Here is a 15,143-nt window from a genome sequence, read left to right on the forward strand (position 1 = left end):
GCCTATGATGTAAATTTTATTCTTATCCCAATTTCACTGGGGCAAAAAAAAAAAACTCAGGCTTACAGCCAAGGCCCCTAGTTAACAAATGTCAAATGCATAATTCATTCAAAATCTACACAACTCCAAAACCTATGTTTTTCATTATGCAATTTAGAAGTGATTACTTTAGCAATACTTACTTCTGGTACTCTAAATATTATTTTATTTGGTGATTTATGGAAAGAACAGTTGTTTAAAGCTATTCAGCTGGGCACGGTGGTTCATGCCTGTAATCCCATCATTTTGGGAGGCCGAGGCCAGCAGATCACCTGAGATGAGAAGTTCGAGACCAGCCTGGTCAACATGGTGAAAACCCGTCTCTACTAAAAATATAGAGAATTAACCAGGCGTGGTGGTGGGCGCCTGTAGTCCACTCAGGCCAGAGGCTGAGACAGGAGAATCACTTGAACCTGGGAGGCAAAGGTTGCAATGAGCTGATATCACGCCACTGCACTTTAGCCTGGGCGACAGAGCGAGACTCCGTCTCAAAAAAAAAAAAAAAAGAGAGAGAGAAAAAGCTATTTTCCTCATTTTTGATGTTCCATACTTTGAGAAGATGGAACATAATTCAGGAGGGGGTTCATAAGTTAGAGTCCCATACCCTTTTAAAATAAGGCAGTCAAGAAGTTGGAGAGCATAATAAAATTGTAGTCTTTGCCTATCAATACTACTGATTTAAAAAGATAGTTGCACATGTATAGATTAGCTGTGGATGTTTGTGTGTATGAAGTTAGGACATTGGAATTTCTGTACTTAATTAGCTCCATCTGGAACACTGAGGTGATATCCCAAGATGTGTAGCCTTGGCTGGGCGTGGTGGCTCATGCCTGTAATCCTAGCACTTTGGGAGGCTGAGGCGGGTGTACCGCCTGAGGTCAGGAGTTTGAGACCAGCCTGGCCAACATAGTGAAACCCCGTCTCTACTAATAATACAAAAAATTAGCTGGGCATGGTGGTGGGCACCTGTAATCCCAGCTACTTGGGAGGCTGAGGCAAGAGAATCGCTTGAACCCAGGAGGCGGAGGTTGCAGTGAGCAGAATCGCTTGAACCTGGGAGGCGGAGGTTGCAGTGAGCCCAGATCGCGCCATTGCACTCCAGCCTGGGAAACGGGAACAAAACTCCATCTCAAGAGAGAAAAAAAAAAAAAAAGATGTGTAGCCTGACTGAAGGTAAACTCAGGTGTACTTTTGGGACAATTGCTTTGTATGTTAAATTGTTTAACAGTAATACCTAATTATCAGGTAATAGTTCTGGTCAGTAAACAATTACATGTAACTCTGCTTTTGGTCGTTATTAAAACCAGATTTAGTTAATGCACTTTTGTTCTTTTCTAGAATGTCGTGTCCTGAAGTCATCTTATTCTCGATCCTCAGCTGTTAAGTATTCTGGATCCAAAAGCCCTGGGCCCTCTCGACGCAGCAAATCACCAGCTTCAGGTAGTTAATGGAAAAGGAATAGATGGTCATAGCAGGAACAGATCATTTTCCTTCTGTTTTCTCTAATTTTTATGAATTAGTAGTCTTTGCCAGGGTCGTATGCAGCCAAGTTCCAGAAAAACAGAGATGATGTGACTTTTAAAACCAAAAGTCAAGTCTGTTTCCCCAGTTACAATAATTCTCCTAAGAGACTTGTGTGGTTTTGTTCTGACACGTTTTCTTGGGAACAGCTTGATGATCTAGATTCTGCTGGTATTTACATAGAAGCGTTTCACATTTTGACCCCTGTATACTGCATTTTGAATTTTGTGCTCTATGATTGTGGATAATTATTTTCTTAACATTATCTCTTTTTTTTAAAACACATGCACATGCACACACTCTGCCCAGAAATGTATTTACTTGATATATTTCCACTGGCTTCTGCCTCATCAAATGATACATTCATAGCAGTGATTATTGTTGAAAAGTAGTATTTTGCTTATTTAAGAGTCAAACAGTATAATTAAGTTTCTTGCGAGTCTTAAGCCTATAAATTTGTCATAATTTTGACTGGACATTTTTAAACATTAAAAACATACATAAATATCTTCATATATTGATTTTATGGGTTTGTTTATAGTAATTAAGAATAAGCCTGTTAATATCATTTCCTCTGAAGGAAAGAATTGTGAAAAACCATGATTTTACAGTTGGTGAATCTAGAACATGGGAAAGTTGTATCAATAACAATGGCCTCAAGCATCAGACTTTATAAAAGACCAAGTTTTTCAGACATTCCACTATTCGCCCTTTCCCCTTTCAGCACCCCCCCCCCCACTTTCTGTAGGGCAGGTCGTTTTACCCTTTTGAACGCACATTTAGAGCTGCTGAATAACCACTCTCCTTACTGTCTTCTACTCTGTGTATACTGCATGTGTACAGTAAAGCGGGGTGGCCACTACTCCAGTGCCTATTCTACAGCCAAATCCCCAGGTGAGCCATGACTATTGTGGCTTTGTTGCTCTGCTGGGTTTTTGTTTTTGTTTTTTGCCACTTTTCTGTTTCCTTTTGCTCCATTTCCATGAATGTATCTGGCTTATTCCAGTGCACATCTGTGTGGTATGAAATGCTTTGCATTGCACAAGACACTTTAGCCTCCTCTATTTATTAGAGAACTGGTTATCATCAGAAGATTACCAAGTGCCTGTCTGTATAGTCAGGAATACAAAGCGACTGAGGAGGCACATCACCGCAAGGGGTCCATCTTCTAGTTAATTTGGAGCAATGTTCTGCTACTGAAAAAGGCTGAAGTTTGTTGGTAATGTGAAAATAGCCATAGAAGCAATTTTGATCTTCTGTGCTCACCCCCTCCCCACCCTGGGGTTAACAGTTTAGTAATCACTGAAATCTTAGAATTATTAGTACTTCATAATAGCATATGCCAGCATAGGATTATGAGGTGTTTCTTATACATACAGGGAAGCAACACTGCAATATTTCTAGTTGTCAAATATTTATTTTCCTAGAGTTATAGACTCAACCTGTTCTCTCTAAAAATGTGACAATTAACAATGAGCATTTTTATCTGAAAATATCTCTGTTATTAACCTTATTTCAAATTGTATCATGCTTTCTGTAAAGTATCTTAAAACTGAGAAAGCTAATATAGATATGAGACTTGCATAAATACACTGACCTGGGTTAATCAAAGAGTAGATGTAGTTTTGGTGATAGCTTTACAGATGCTTATTACATCAGTAAAAATAATTAAATAGCTGGGCACGGAGGTACCACCTGTGGTCCCAGCTACTCAGAGGCTGAGGCAGGAGGATCCCTTGAGGCCAGGAGTTTGAGGCTGTAATGAGCTATGATGATAGTGCCTGTGCATAGCCACTGCACTCTAGCCTGGGCAATGTAGCAAGGCCCTGTCTCTTTTAAAAAAATTTTAATAAAAGGGAGAGTGGTTCAAGAATCGGGTGTGATTAATTCAATTTTGTCCCCCTGAGGTCAAAAGAGAAAAATTAACATATTGAACTAAAAACATGTCTCATAGCCACATTTGTCCTGCAGAGCAGTAGCTCCAGAAGATAGCCTAATAAATATATACATAACTCTTGAATTTATAATACTTAGAAACTGATTAAGGAAAATCGTAGCATTCTAGTACACACAATTTTAAATTAAGTCCACATTTGGATTTGAGTTAATAGAGTAAGCCTCAAACTCATCAAGTAAAAGTTGTAAGATTTTAAAACCACATTTTAGAGAGAAAATGATCTTTTTTATAAGAGATTAATTCAAAGTGTGTTCGACACTTTAGCTATAGAAAACCCAAAGCCTGAGTCAACCACTGGGATTTGAGTGAATCTCAAGAAAGCTACTATATTTATCTGTATAGTGCTTATCTGTATAGTGCTATATAGCGTGTTCTTTCCACTTTCTACCACCAGGAAGAAGAGGATTTTGTATTATTAAAAGCCATGGTACCCAGGAGTGCTTTTACAGATTACTTTAGCTATGGTGTATTTGTTGCCATTTTAAAAATTCCATGGGACTAATTGGAACTCAAACTGAGCTGGTAACTTTATGAACATAATATTGTACCTTTTCAATCTTGGGGCAGAAGTCCTAAATGAAGTCTTGAGACTGCCTTGAGTGAAGTCTTCTGGTTGACTAAATCCTTCAACAAAACTCTGTCAGAATAGCTAAATAGTATGTAAAAAGCACATAGATATTAAGCTAGGTAACATAAATGGGTAAATGGTTACTCTTGCCCAGGCTGGAGTGCAGTGGTGTGATCTCAGCTCACTGAACCTCCGCCTCAGGAGTTCAAGCGATTCTCCTGCCTCAGCCTCCCGAGTAGCTGGGACTACAGGCGTGCGCCACCACGCCTGGCTAATTTTTGTATTTTTAGTGGAGACGAGGTTTCGCCATGTTGGCCAGGCTGGTCTCTAATTCCTGATATCAAGTGATCCACCCGCCTCAGCCTCCCAAAGTGCTGGGATTACAGACATGAGCCACCATGCCCGGCCATTATTTTATGATTTTAGCTTGTGAATCTTTCTTAGTCTGCCAAGGTAGAAAGTATTCAAAGAAAACAAAAAAGCCCCCAAGTTTCTTTCTTTCCTTAGAGTTGAGGGGAGGGGGATAAAATTTCAGGAGAGAAAATCCAGGGGTGTAGCAGAAGAGTGGAAGCATGAGGCAGGTGCTGGCTGGCGGAGGCATACCTTCCACTTGCGGCAGCAGCGGAAGTTGCAGGGGGAGAGGTCATGACATGGTGCTGTCCAGGGCCCCCATTAGCCTCCCCAGAACTGGAGAAATGTGCAGATAAGTGAAATTAAGAACTACTCATTCAAGCACATTGTTTAGAACTTTCCAAATGCTATAAAAACTTAGGGGACTATATGTGATTAGTATCTCTTTTAGGATGAGTTATTTTGGTGAAAATACAGACTTGTAGTTATTGATACCAGTTAAATCCCTGGCAGTGAGTTTTGTTAAGAAACTAGGCCTGGGCAGGGGATGTATAAGGAGACTGATCTACTGCAGAGATCGCCATCTGCCAGAACTGCTTTTTCTCCTTCAGTCCCTTTCCTACAATCATTCCAAGGTAGCCTTTGCTATCAGTGTGGGATTGGAATACCAGTGAACTCTAACAGTGCTTACTGATTAGGAGCAGGTGATCTGTGCAGATTGCTGTGTGAGGTGGAGAAAATACCAAAAAAAAAAGGAAAAAAAGGAAAATTTAGTCTCACCTCACCACAAGCTTACTAGTTTATTGCCGGTCATAATCTCTCTTTTGTGTGAATTCCATTGAAAAAGATTTTTTTAAAGACTTTATTTTTAAGAGCAGTTTTAGGTTCACAGCCAAAGGTACACATTTTCTGTGTACCTCCTTGCCTGCAGACTTGCGTTGACTTCTTCTATTATCCACATCCCCAATTAGAGTGCTGCATTTGTTACAATTAGCCTGCACCTAAGGTCCATACTTTACATTGAGGTTCATTCTTGGTGTTGTTTGTTTTCTGGGTTTGGACAAGTTTATAATGACATATATTCACCATTACAGTATTGTACAGTCTCACTTCACTGAAAACCTTTTGTGCTCTACCTTTTAAAGAAGTTTTTTTAGAAGAAATAACATTAATTGAAATTTAACTTGATTGAGAAGTAATCAGGGCTGTTGAATACTCTTATTTTTAATTGTACAGTTAATTGTGCTACACTTGTATTCTAAGTACCCACATGTATTTGTTAATAAAATCTAGATCACTGACCATTATTTTGAATGAGGGTTTTGAGTCAGAAAAATTAAAGTTTTGGAAATTTAAAAATAACTGGAAAAAGTTTTCGTTTTTACTGAAATTTTAAAATGAGCAATACAATAAATATGACTTCATAAACGCAGATATTCCTGTTTACAGGTGATTCTTGTAATCATTAGTACTCATTGATCCACAATTTCTGCCTCTGCTCAAGGACTGGTACTCATTTTTTTGAGTCCCCTATTCAGGACCTTTACCTGTGCATTTGGTTTTTTATACTTATTAGTGTGATTTAAAATAATAGTTGTCGCTCTCTCATCTTTTCTTTAAAAAAGAATAAAAAGCAAATGAGCATCTCTTTTCTTTCCAAAAAGATGAATGACACTTTTCATCTACTTTGGGCAAAAACTTTGGAAATTTGTAATAAAACAGATTATAAATACTCTATTTAGAGGAGAAAAACATATATCAATACTAGATGTTAACTACTAGTTTTGTGAAATTACTGCAGAAATAGATTCTAATGATACAATCAGGCATAAGTCATACTGAAATGTTTGACCAGAATTCTGTAGTACAGAATCTGCAAACCTTTCCTAGGGGAGAGGTTTCAAAGTTTTCAAAAACTGAAAACTTTTTTCAGTTATTTTTTAAATTTCCAAATTTAATTTTCTGGGGGAAAGGTTCATTTGCAGATTCTGTACTACATAATTCTAGCATAGGATCTAAATCGAGCTTTCAACCAAAGAAGCGTATGGAGGTTTAGAGCAGATGTGTAGAAAACTACCAAGATTTGCTGACAAATGGAGAGGATAAGCTGTACAGAAAAGAAAATGGAAGGAATTAGAAATAAGTAGTCTAGATAAAAAAGGTTGAAGAATGTTTTTCACAGACTTTGAGCAAATAAGTAGGAATTACAAGGAAAACTACCAGCAAATTTTCCCTTTTCATTAAGAAAATACTTAGAAAATGTGTTTGTATTATGGTGTACTTGATTTGGGAGAGCCACACAAACTTCTTGGTTATCCAAACTTCTTGGTTATCTTGGTATACACCAAGATAGTGGATATTGAAGGTTATGGAACAGCCTTCATAGTAAACCATTACAAATATAACAGCCATCTCTACCTTTGCTGGCAGGCAGGATACATGGACAAGTTCTCGTTCACATCACTAATTCCATAATGTCTTCTATATTTGTTTATATAGCTGTCAGAAAACTACTATTGAAAATAGTTCTAGTTTCACTCTGTTTTTTTTTTTTTTGTCTGTAATGCAGTAAGATACATTATTTTTGCTTTTTGCTGATTTGCCGTCTGCTTTGAGCTGAAAACGAGTTGAAGCTTCATTGGACCTATATTGTGCATGCACCTAGTGTATTTATACAGTCTGGTTGTTGTGGGTTTTAATGGGACTTCTGTCTTCTTTGTTGTCTCATGGGCAGTTAATGGAACTCCCAGCAGCCAACTTTCTACTCCTAAATCTACGAAATCCTCCAGTTCCTCTCCAACTAGTCCAGGAAGTTTCAGAGGATTAAAGGTATGAAATAGGATATGTGGCATATTTGTGTGATTTTGTTATTTAGAGTTTCATAGTTTAGCAGTTTAATTTGTTTGGGGGCTTGAGTACAGTAGCAAATTAAAAAGATTTTAGGATTTTGAGCCTGGTAGACTTGACTTCGAATCCTGTGTACTGCTGTAATTTTGGCAAACTCACTTAACTCCTCTGAGCTGAAGTGTTTCTCTTCTCTAAAATGGGAACACGGGGTTGTGGTGTTCTTATTTTAGAGATGAACATAATGTGGTAAAGTATAATAAATAGTAGTTTTCCAATTATTATCAAAATGATTCGCAGCGGTGAAGCCTTGGAGAACATCATGATTCTTTAAAAAATCTTGTTTCGAGTCATGACTTTAATATTGCTAACATAATTTGAGTTTGTCAAAAGCCTAAAATGAAGTGAAATACTAGCATAATGTTTATACTCACAAGCTATAACACAAGGAAAATATGGTCATCTTTGGTGAGGAACTTAGAAATAATCTTAGGTGTTGATTATGATGTCCTAAAAATATAAACAGTAACCGTATGATTAGCAGTTGATTTAATAGACAGTTATCTAATAGAGATGAGCAAAACCAATTTTGCAAAATTTCAACAAGTTTTATTTGATGTAGTAGTTCCTAATAATTTAAATTTAGAAGAGAAAATTTGCCTGGTAAAATAACAGTAAATAATTAGAGCTAAAGATGGAATTTCCAGCCAGACATGATGGCTCACGCCTGTAATCCCAGCACTTTGGGAGGCTGAGGCAAGTGGATCACTTGAGGTCAGGAGTTCAAGACAAGCCTGGCCAACATAGTGAAACCCTGACTCTACTAAAAATACAAAAATTAGCCGGGCCTGGTGGTACAAACCTGTAATCCCAGCTACTCTGTGGGCTGAGGTGGGAGAATCACTTGCACCCAGGAGGCAGAGGTTGCAGTGAGCCGAGATCGCGCCGCTGCACTCCAGCCTGGGTGACAAAGCGAGACTGTGCCTCAAAAAAAAAAAAATGGAATTTCCTTTGTAGAAACAAAGGGTTGTCTACATGGTAATGAATTCTGAGAATACTGATGTATACACAGTGTCATGTATGTGTATACATAAATTAACTTTAATTCCCTTTATGTGTTTTGATTGATCAGATATACTATTAGGAATGTATTTTCCAAAGTTGGTTCCCTAAACACTTCAAATATAGCCCTAGAGGATTTCTTTAAAGATGTTGAAGAATTTTTTTTTATTAGTAAACTTAATGGTTAGAACTCCACCACCCTTGCATGAGTGAGGAGTGGGAACCTGCCAAGCCCAGCCTCTGACACCTTCAGAGCAGCATGTGAGGTCTGTGCTTCCCCACTTCTCAGAACGTTTTGTTCTCCAATTGACTGTAAGGTTTGCTTGTCTTGCCCTGAGAATGTTGTATGTCCTTCAGAGTAGACTTGTATAATGTTTAAGTACCTGAGAATAAAAAGAGGAATTCTGGAAAAGGACAGAGCATCTGTTTTTGTGCCTGCTTGCTTATCCTTGGCAGAATTTGGGCTGAGACTAGTAGGACGTTTGGAAGTAGGGAGTATCTAGCTCTCACCTACCTGTAATTACTGCAAGTTCCTTATATTTATCAAAAGAAGCAGGCATTTTTCTGAAGTACTAACTTGACTTAAGTCAGTTCATAATGTGATTTCAGTGGACTTTTAAATTGTCAATTCCCAGAAAAGTTACATAAATTAAGAATTAGTAGTAAGCTAATTATTTTCAGATTTTTCTCCTATTTTCCCTGGAACAGATTGGAAGTACATTGTTATTAATAGAAGTAACTTTCAAGAGAACTAAAATAAAAATAAGTTGATTTACCTCTTTTCAGGTTTGTTGTTTCAAAATTTGTTAACGCAAAAGCGAGTGGCTCCTAGAGCTGGTTAATTGTTCTAGGGCAGATCTAGGGTAACCTTTCCAGTGAGCCACATGCCAAGGTCCTTCATATTCCTCCCCCAGGCCATTGCCCCAGGTGGGGCTGAGATCCTTAACCTAGGACCGCTTTGGGGGATCAGATGGGACACTTGAGTGCCTGCTTACTCTGGGTCTTGGTCACTTCCCCATTTTTTGTTACCCATTGGTAATCCCAGCTCCCGTCTTCCTAGTCCATCTTCACCTCTAAACCCAATATTGTCATTTTCTGTTTTTGCCACTAGGCCAGTTGGTGCTGCTTATTAGTAATTACAACTATGGCTTCAGGACAGGACAGCTAACCATTTCAAAGAAATACATGTTAATATTCTGTGCACACACCTGCCTCACACATGCATGCATACTTGTGCAGGGTCACTCACATTTGTTAAGATTAATGGAATTTTTAAAACCTAATAAATTGTATTATTGCTGAGACATTAAGTAAAATTGTTCCTTCTATGCTAGGTGTATCTTAATTATTATAGTAACCCCAGCATTTAGCACACAGTAAATGCTCAAGGATTACTTATTCACACCGAGAGGAATAAAGACAAATTTGTTGATTAAGGGAAATGTTGATTACTGGTCAAGATTGAACATAAGATTATAAGTAAGACAAAGAACAGTTGTCTTTCCAGGACCACCCCCTGTTCTCCACCACTATGCCTGAGGCCTGTGGGCTTTGCTAACAGCTGTGATACTTCCTCTGGGTTTTCTTTTTCTTATCTGTAAAACAAGACTTTTGATTTTAAATGACCTCTAAAATGCTAGGAATATAGTTCTGTTAACTTGCCGAAAAACCTAACTAAAAGGCTAGGAAGTCTATTTTTTGTCCTTTTACTTCAATGCTGTTGTAAAACACTGAATTTTACATTAAACATGAGTAACTAATGTCTCTGCCACACTGATTCAGCTTTTAGGCCACAATCCCAAAGCTCTCTAACTACTACCTATTCTCATGGGTCCTGCCTTATGAAAATTTCATCTCATTACAGTTCCCATAATCTGTAGTATATATTGTCATTGGGATGAAAACCTTCTTTTTAAATAATGCAATTTAGTCAGGTTACTTTACTGTACCAAATACCCTAATTTTGATGTCATTGCAAGGCACCAGCTTATTTTTTTTTATTCAGTGGCATGACAGATGAGGAATTACAGATAATTACCGTGTGTTAGTACTGTGCGTTTCCCTTCCCTTCATTTAAAATAGCTTATTAAGATCAGTTAAGAGGGAATGTCTGAGAATGGAGGATTGTTTTTCGTGGGCAGGAACTCTTTACCACTATTTATCCTAGTTAGATGCTCTAATGGCCTTGGGGGATAGATAATCTTTTTCCAGAGAATCAGAGAATTGATAAAAGCAAGCAAACCAAGCCACGACAGCATGTGCAGGAGCTGACAGTCTCTCTAGCTGCCAGGACACAGCTTTTGGCATTGAGGGTTTTGTTACTATCTGGATTTTATTCACTAGGGAACTAAATAAGGTTAAGGGTAAGCAGAATTTGATGTTCTGTCACCGTTTTTCCCTCTTTGTATACATGTCTGGGAATTATTTTAATATTTTGGTAGGGGCATTGAAAGAACTGAAAATGAAAATAGGATATGTTTAATCTCTGATCATGGATTGTTAGTGACACTTTGGTTTGCTCATTAAGAGAGATATAAAATATAGACAATCCACCCTCCTCTCCACAAAATGTACTCGTAGTTTTCTTGGTACTCTTACGAGAAAGATGATTCTGCTAAGACTGTGTTCTTTGAGGGGCTGGAAAAAAGCCAGTAGCGGAAGGAAAGCTTTCTTCAACTTGTGAATGATTTTTTTGCAGGTGAGCATGTAAGAAATAGGGTGGTGACCAAGTAATTAAGGTTCTTTAACCTTAAACTGAGAGACTTTAGGACAACTGAGAGTTAGTGGTATCTTGATTATATATTTGTTTTGTTCAAGTAGTATTAAAGAAAAAACACTAATTATTCCAGATACTTGTTAAAGACTATAAGGGAGACTTTATTCAAAGAGTGGGGGTGGTCCCTGGCAATTGGTATAGAGACCACTGTAGTGGAGCCTTGCAGGGAGGAAAAGAGGAAATCCAGCTCCAACAAGGAAAAGTGGGGATTATAACCAAGGAGCAGGGTGGGCATCAGCAGATGGAAGAGTATTAGAGGAACCATCCAGCATAAGAGGCTTCCGGCTCAACCGACTTGATAGGCTTATTGCTGAAGGCAGGCTGGGGTGATCTGACATCAGAGTCAGATACCAAGTACAGGGGATTTTCCCTGAACTGACTTAACAGGAATCTTGCTCAGGCCTCAGCCTGGATTCTGCAAGGACAGGGAGGGAAGCCCAAGGTTGGGCCTAGTCAAGCAGAGGATTTTGTAGAACAAAAACCAAAAGAGGGGCTAAGCAGTTTTGAAGTGGCCTAACAAAATAAGTTTTGGTCATAAAAGTTTTGGTCATAAAAGAGTTTTTGTCAGTAGTTACCTAAAACCATAAAGTGTAAAAACTGGAAGTAGTTTCAAACCTTGTTTAGTCTTCAAGATGGAGAAACGGAGTTTTTTTTTTTGTTTTTGTTTTGTTTTGTTTTGTTTTGTTTGTTTTGTTTTGAGACGGAGTCTTGCTATGTTGCCCAGGCTGGAGTGCAGTGGCGTGATCTTGGCTCACTGCAACCTCTGCCTCCCAGGTTCAAGTGATTCTCTTGTCTCAGCCTTCTGAGTAACACATTTGCTCCACAGGAAAAAGGGTTGAGAGATTGGGAGGGGAATAGGGAGGGGGAGGTGTGGGAAAAAGAGAGAGGAAATCCTGGGGTTAGGGAGGAGGCTGGGTGAAGAGGGGTGGAAAGACAGAGAAAAATACCTGGTGACAACTTTTCCTGAGAGGCTTGGGGGAAAAGTTTGCTAATAGGTATCTAATGGGAGCTCCTTGAAAGTGAAACTGTCCACACTGTGCCCATTATTTCCACCTAACCCCATAAAGCTTTAGTACAATAACAGAGTTCACAATAGTTTAGCGTTTTTGGTTTTCTTTGGAAGACAGTACTCAGTGGAGCTGAGTATTGTCAAGATGGGTATAGATTGGAATTAGCATATCCAGATTCAGCAGATACATGGGTTACAAGGATGTGGGATGATGTTCTGTGGTGGGCCTGTGATGGAAGTCACCCTGTGGGTATGGTGGCATAGCTGGGTGTTGAGCCCATGCTCATAAACACTACCAGCCCCAAGGACACAGTGGGAAAGCAAGATCAGTCTTCTTAAACAAATGATTGGAAACAACATGATCAGACCAAAAATTTGTAAAATTAGTTATTAAAGGCTAACGCCATCCAGCAGGTCCCTGTTAGGCCTCTTCCCCAGAACCTAGCTCCTAGGTATTAGAACTTGGCTTTGCTTCTGTTTGGACTTAGGGAATCTGACTTTCCTGAAGGTCAGGGCTGCTCCTGGTGATGGTCACCTAGGGAGGAGGCATTTCTGCAGGCCACACACAGCCTCTCTCACCTCAGTGGCCCCAGGCTGCCTCCCACAGCCAGGAACATGGGGAGCCCTGGGGCTTCTGAAATAAAGACAATTCATGCCAAGTTGTACTATGCCTTTGTTACGAGGCTACAGATCTCCTCGAGACTCTGGTTTATTTTCCTTTTGTCCTCTAATTCTTAAGTTTTTTTGTGATTATTCCGAGCTATTCTAGTTAAGCTAAGGGTAACCAGGATAAAAGTCTTGGTCTGCTTTGGCCAGATTATTAAGGTGGGAATGGTGCCCCCTGGTGTGCAGCTACACAGAGGACCTGGAGGAAGAAGGAGACCTGAGCTCCCTCCCTCCTCTGCTGCCTCCTCCATTTGGAAACAGACACAGGATGGTGATCAAAAGCACGTGAAATGTAACAGCCCTTTTAGAATTTGTCTAGCAGGGTTTCTGGTGGTACCAGCAGACTCCACACAGGTAAATCTATTACAACATTTAGGGCCAGGTGCGGTGGCTCATGCCTGTGATCCCAGCACTTTGGGAGGCCAAGGTGGGTGGATCACGAGTTCAGGGGTTCAAGACCAGCCTGGCCAACAATGGTGAAACCCCATCTCTACTAAAAATACAAAAATTAGCCAGGCGTGGTGGCAGGTGCCTGTAATCCCAGCTACTCGGGAGGCTGAAGCAGGAGAATCCCTTGAACCCTGGAGGCAGAGGTTGCAATGAGCCGAGATCCTGCCACTTCATTCCAGCCTGGGCTACAGGGCAAGACTCTGACTTAAAATTAAAAATGGAAAAAAAGCACATGAAGTCCAAGTGCCTGGGTTTGATCTTGGCATGGCCACTCTTAAGCTGTTTTACCTTGGATAAGTCACATCACCCCTATCTGTGGAAAAAGGGATTAATAGGACCTACCGCACAGGATTGAGATTGATTAAATATGGAGAAAGCAGTTAGGGTAGCCTTGTTATTCTTTCTTACCGTAAACCTTGGCATTTCCAGGTTCCATTTTCACGTGAAGGCAGTTTTACTTGCAAAAAACTAACATGCAGTAGCGTACAAGGGGGAAAGAGAAGGTGAGAGAAGTCAGACTCCAGATTTTATTACCTCCTCTGCTTTTCTATCACCAACTTTTCCTCTCAACTCTCCCTTCACCTCTGCTTTCCTGCCCTCTTCACATACTCCAACCCTATCAATAATCTATAAATGACTCTACTAGGAACAGATTATCCCACCTGGGAGGCTGAGGCAGGAGAATTGCTTGAATCTGGGAGGCGGAGGTTGCATTGAGCTGAGATCGCACCACTGCACTCCAGCTTGGGCAACAGAGCGAGCCTCTGTCTCCAGGAAAAAAAGAAAAAAGGTTATTCTGGCAAGGCACAGTCGCTCACGCCTTTAATCCTAGCACTTTGGGAGGCCGAGGTGGGTGGATCACCTGAGGTCAGGAGTTTGAGACCAGCCTGGCCAAAATGGTGAAACCCTATCTCTACTAAAAATAGAAAAACTTGCTGGGTGTGGTGGCATGTGCCCATAGTCCCAGCTACCTGGGAGGCTGAGGCAGGAGAATCACTTGAACCCAGGAGGCAGAGGTTGCAGTGAGCGGAGATTGCGCCATTGCACTCCAGCCTGGGTGACAAGAGCAAGACTCTGTCTCAAAAAAAAAAAAAAAGAAAGAAAGAAAAAGGTTATCCCAAAATTTAGCAGCTTAAAACAAAAGAAGTAGAAAATTTATTTTCACACACAGTTTTTACGGGTCAGAAATTCAGGAGCAGCTTAACTGGGTGGTTCTGGCTCAAGATCTCTCATGAGGTTGCAGTCAAGACGCGTCCCAGGGCTGTAGCCGCCTGAAGGCTTGACTGGGAATGGAGGATCCCCCTCTGTAGTCACTCATTCACTTGCTGGCAAGCTGGTGCTGGCTGTTGGCAGAAGGCCTCGGTTACTCGCCATGTGGACCTCTCTGTAAGTTGGCTTGAGTTTCCTCAGAACACAGCAGGTGGCTTTCCCCAGAACCAAGTGATAAGAGAGAGAGAGAGAGAGAGAGTGCCATACAGAAGCTGTCCATTCTGTGACCTAGCCTTGGAAGCCAGACCCCATCTCTTCCATAATATCTTGGTGGTCACACACCAGCCCAACTCAGCATGGGGAGAGACATCACAAGGGCATGAGAAACGGGAGCTGGGGCTCATGAGGGCTATTGTGGAGTCTGGCAGTCACACCAGCCTTCTCTCCATTTTCATCTCTTTATCAGCCACTCAAAATTTCTGCCCTGGGCTGGTCTGGCTTCCTCATCCTGTCCTTTCCAACCTTCCTGTCCATCCTCTTTTTTGAGGGCTGCCAGAGTCTCACCCCATCAATTTTATTGCTTTGTTCTCCTTCCAGTCCTTTTGTTCGTCAGACTGCTGACTCCCTACTCATTCTTTTTCCTTCTCTTCAAATCCTAGAATCCCACCCCTGTGGACCTCGTTTGCTTCTT

General features: G+C 40.4%; 1 protein-coding gene and 1 pseudogene across 13 annotated transcripts in view; both read left to right on the plus strand.

The window, feature by feature from the left end:
- Positions 1 to 15,143, plus strand: part of DCLK2 (doublecortin like kinase 2) — a 178,994-nt gene that overhangs the window by 118,180 nt on the left and 45,671 nt on the right. For 6 of the 13 annotated variants that reach the window (XR_007096380.1, NR_036614.2, NM_001040260.4 and 3 more), the window contains exons 4-5: positions 1,378 to 1,479; positions 7,171 to 7,265. Coding sequence is in view for 11 of the 13 variants with exons in the window: in NM_001040260.4 (NP_001035350.2) it covers positions 1,378 to 1,479; positions 7,171 to 7,265 (197 nt within the window). In the remaining 2 variants the exon portion in view is untranslated. Of the gene's footprint in view, positions 1 to 1,377; positions 1,480 to 2,403; positions 2,455 to 7,170; positions 7,266 to 15,143 lie in introns of all 13 variants that reach the window. The other 7 variants (XM_017007832.3, NM_001040261.5, XM_017007833.3 and 4 more) reach the window with 2 other exon arrangements.
- Positions 13,082 to 13,144, plus strand: RNU7-194P (RNA, U7 small nuclear 194 pseudogene; annotated as a pseudogene).

The sequence above is a fragment of the Homo sapiens genome, chromosome 4 (genome assembly GCF_000001405.40).
Source record: "Homo sapiens chromosome 4, GRCh38.p14 Primary Assembly".
NCBI lineage: Eukaryota > Metazoa > Chordata > Mammalia > Primates > Hominidae > Homo > Homo sapiens.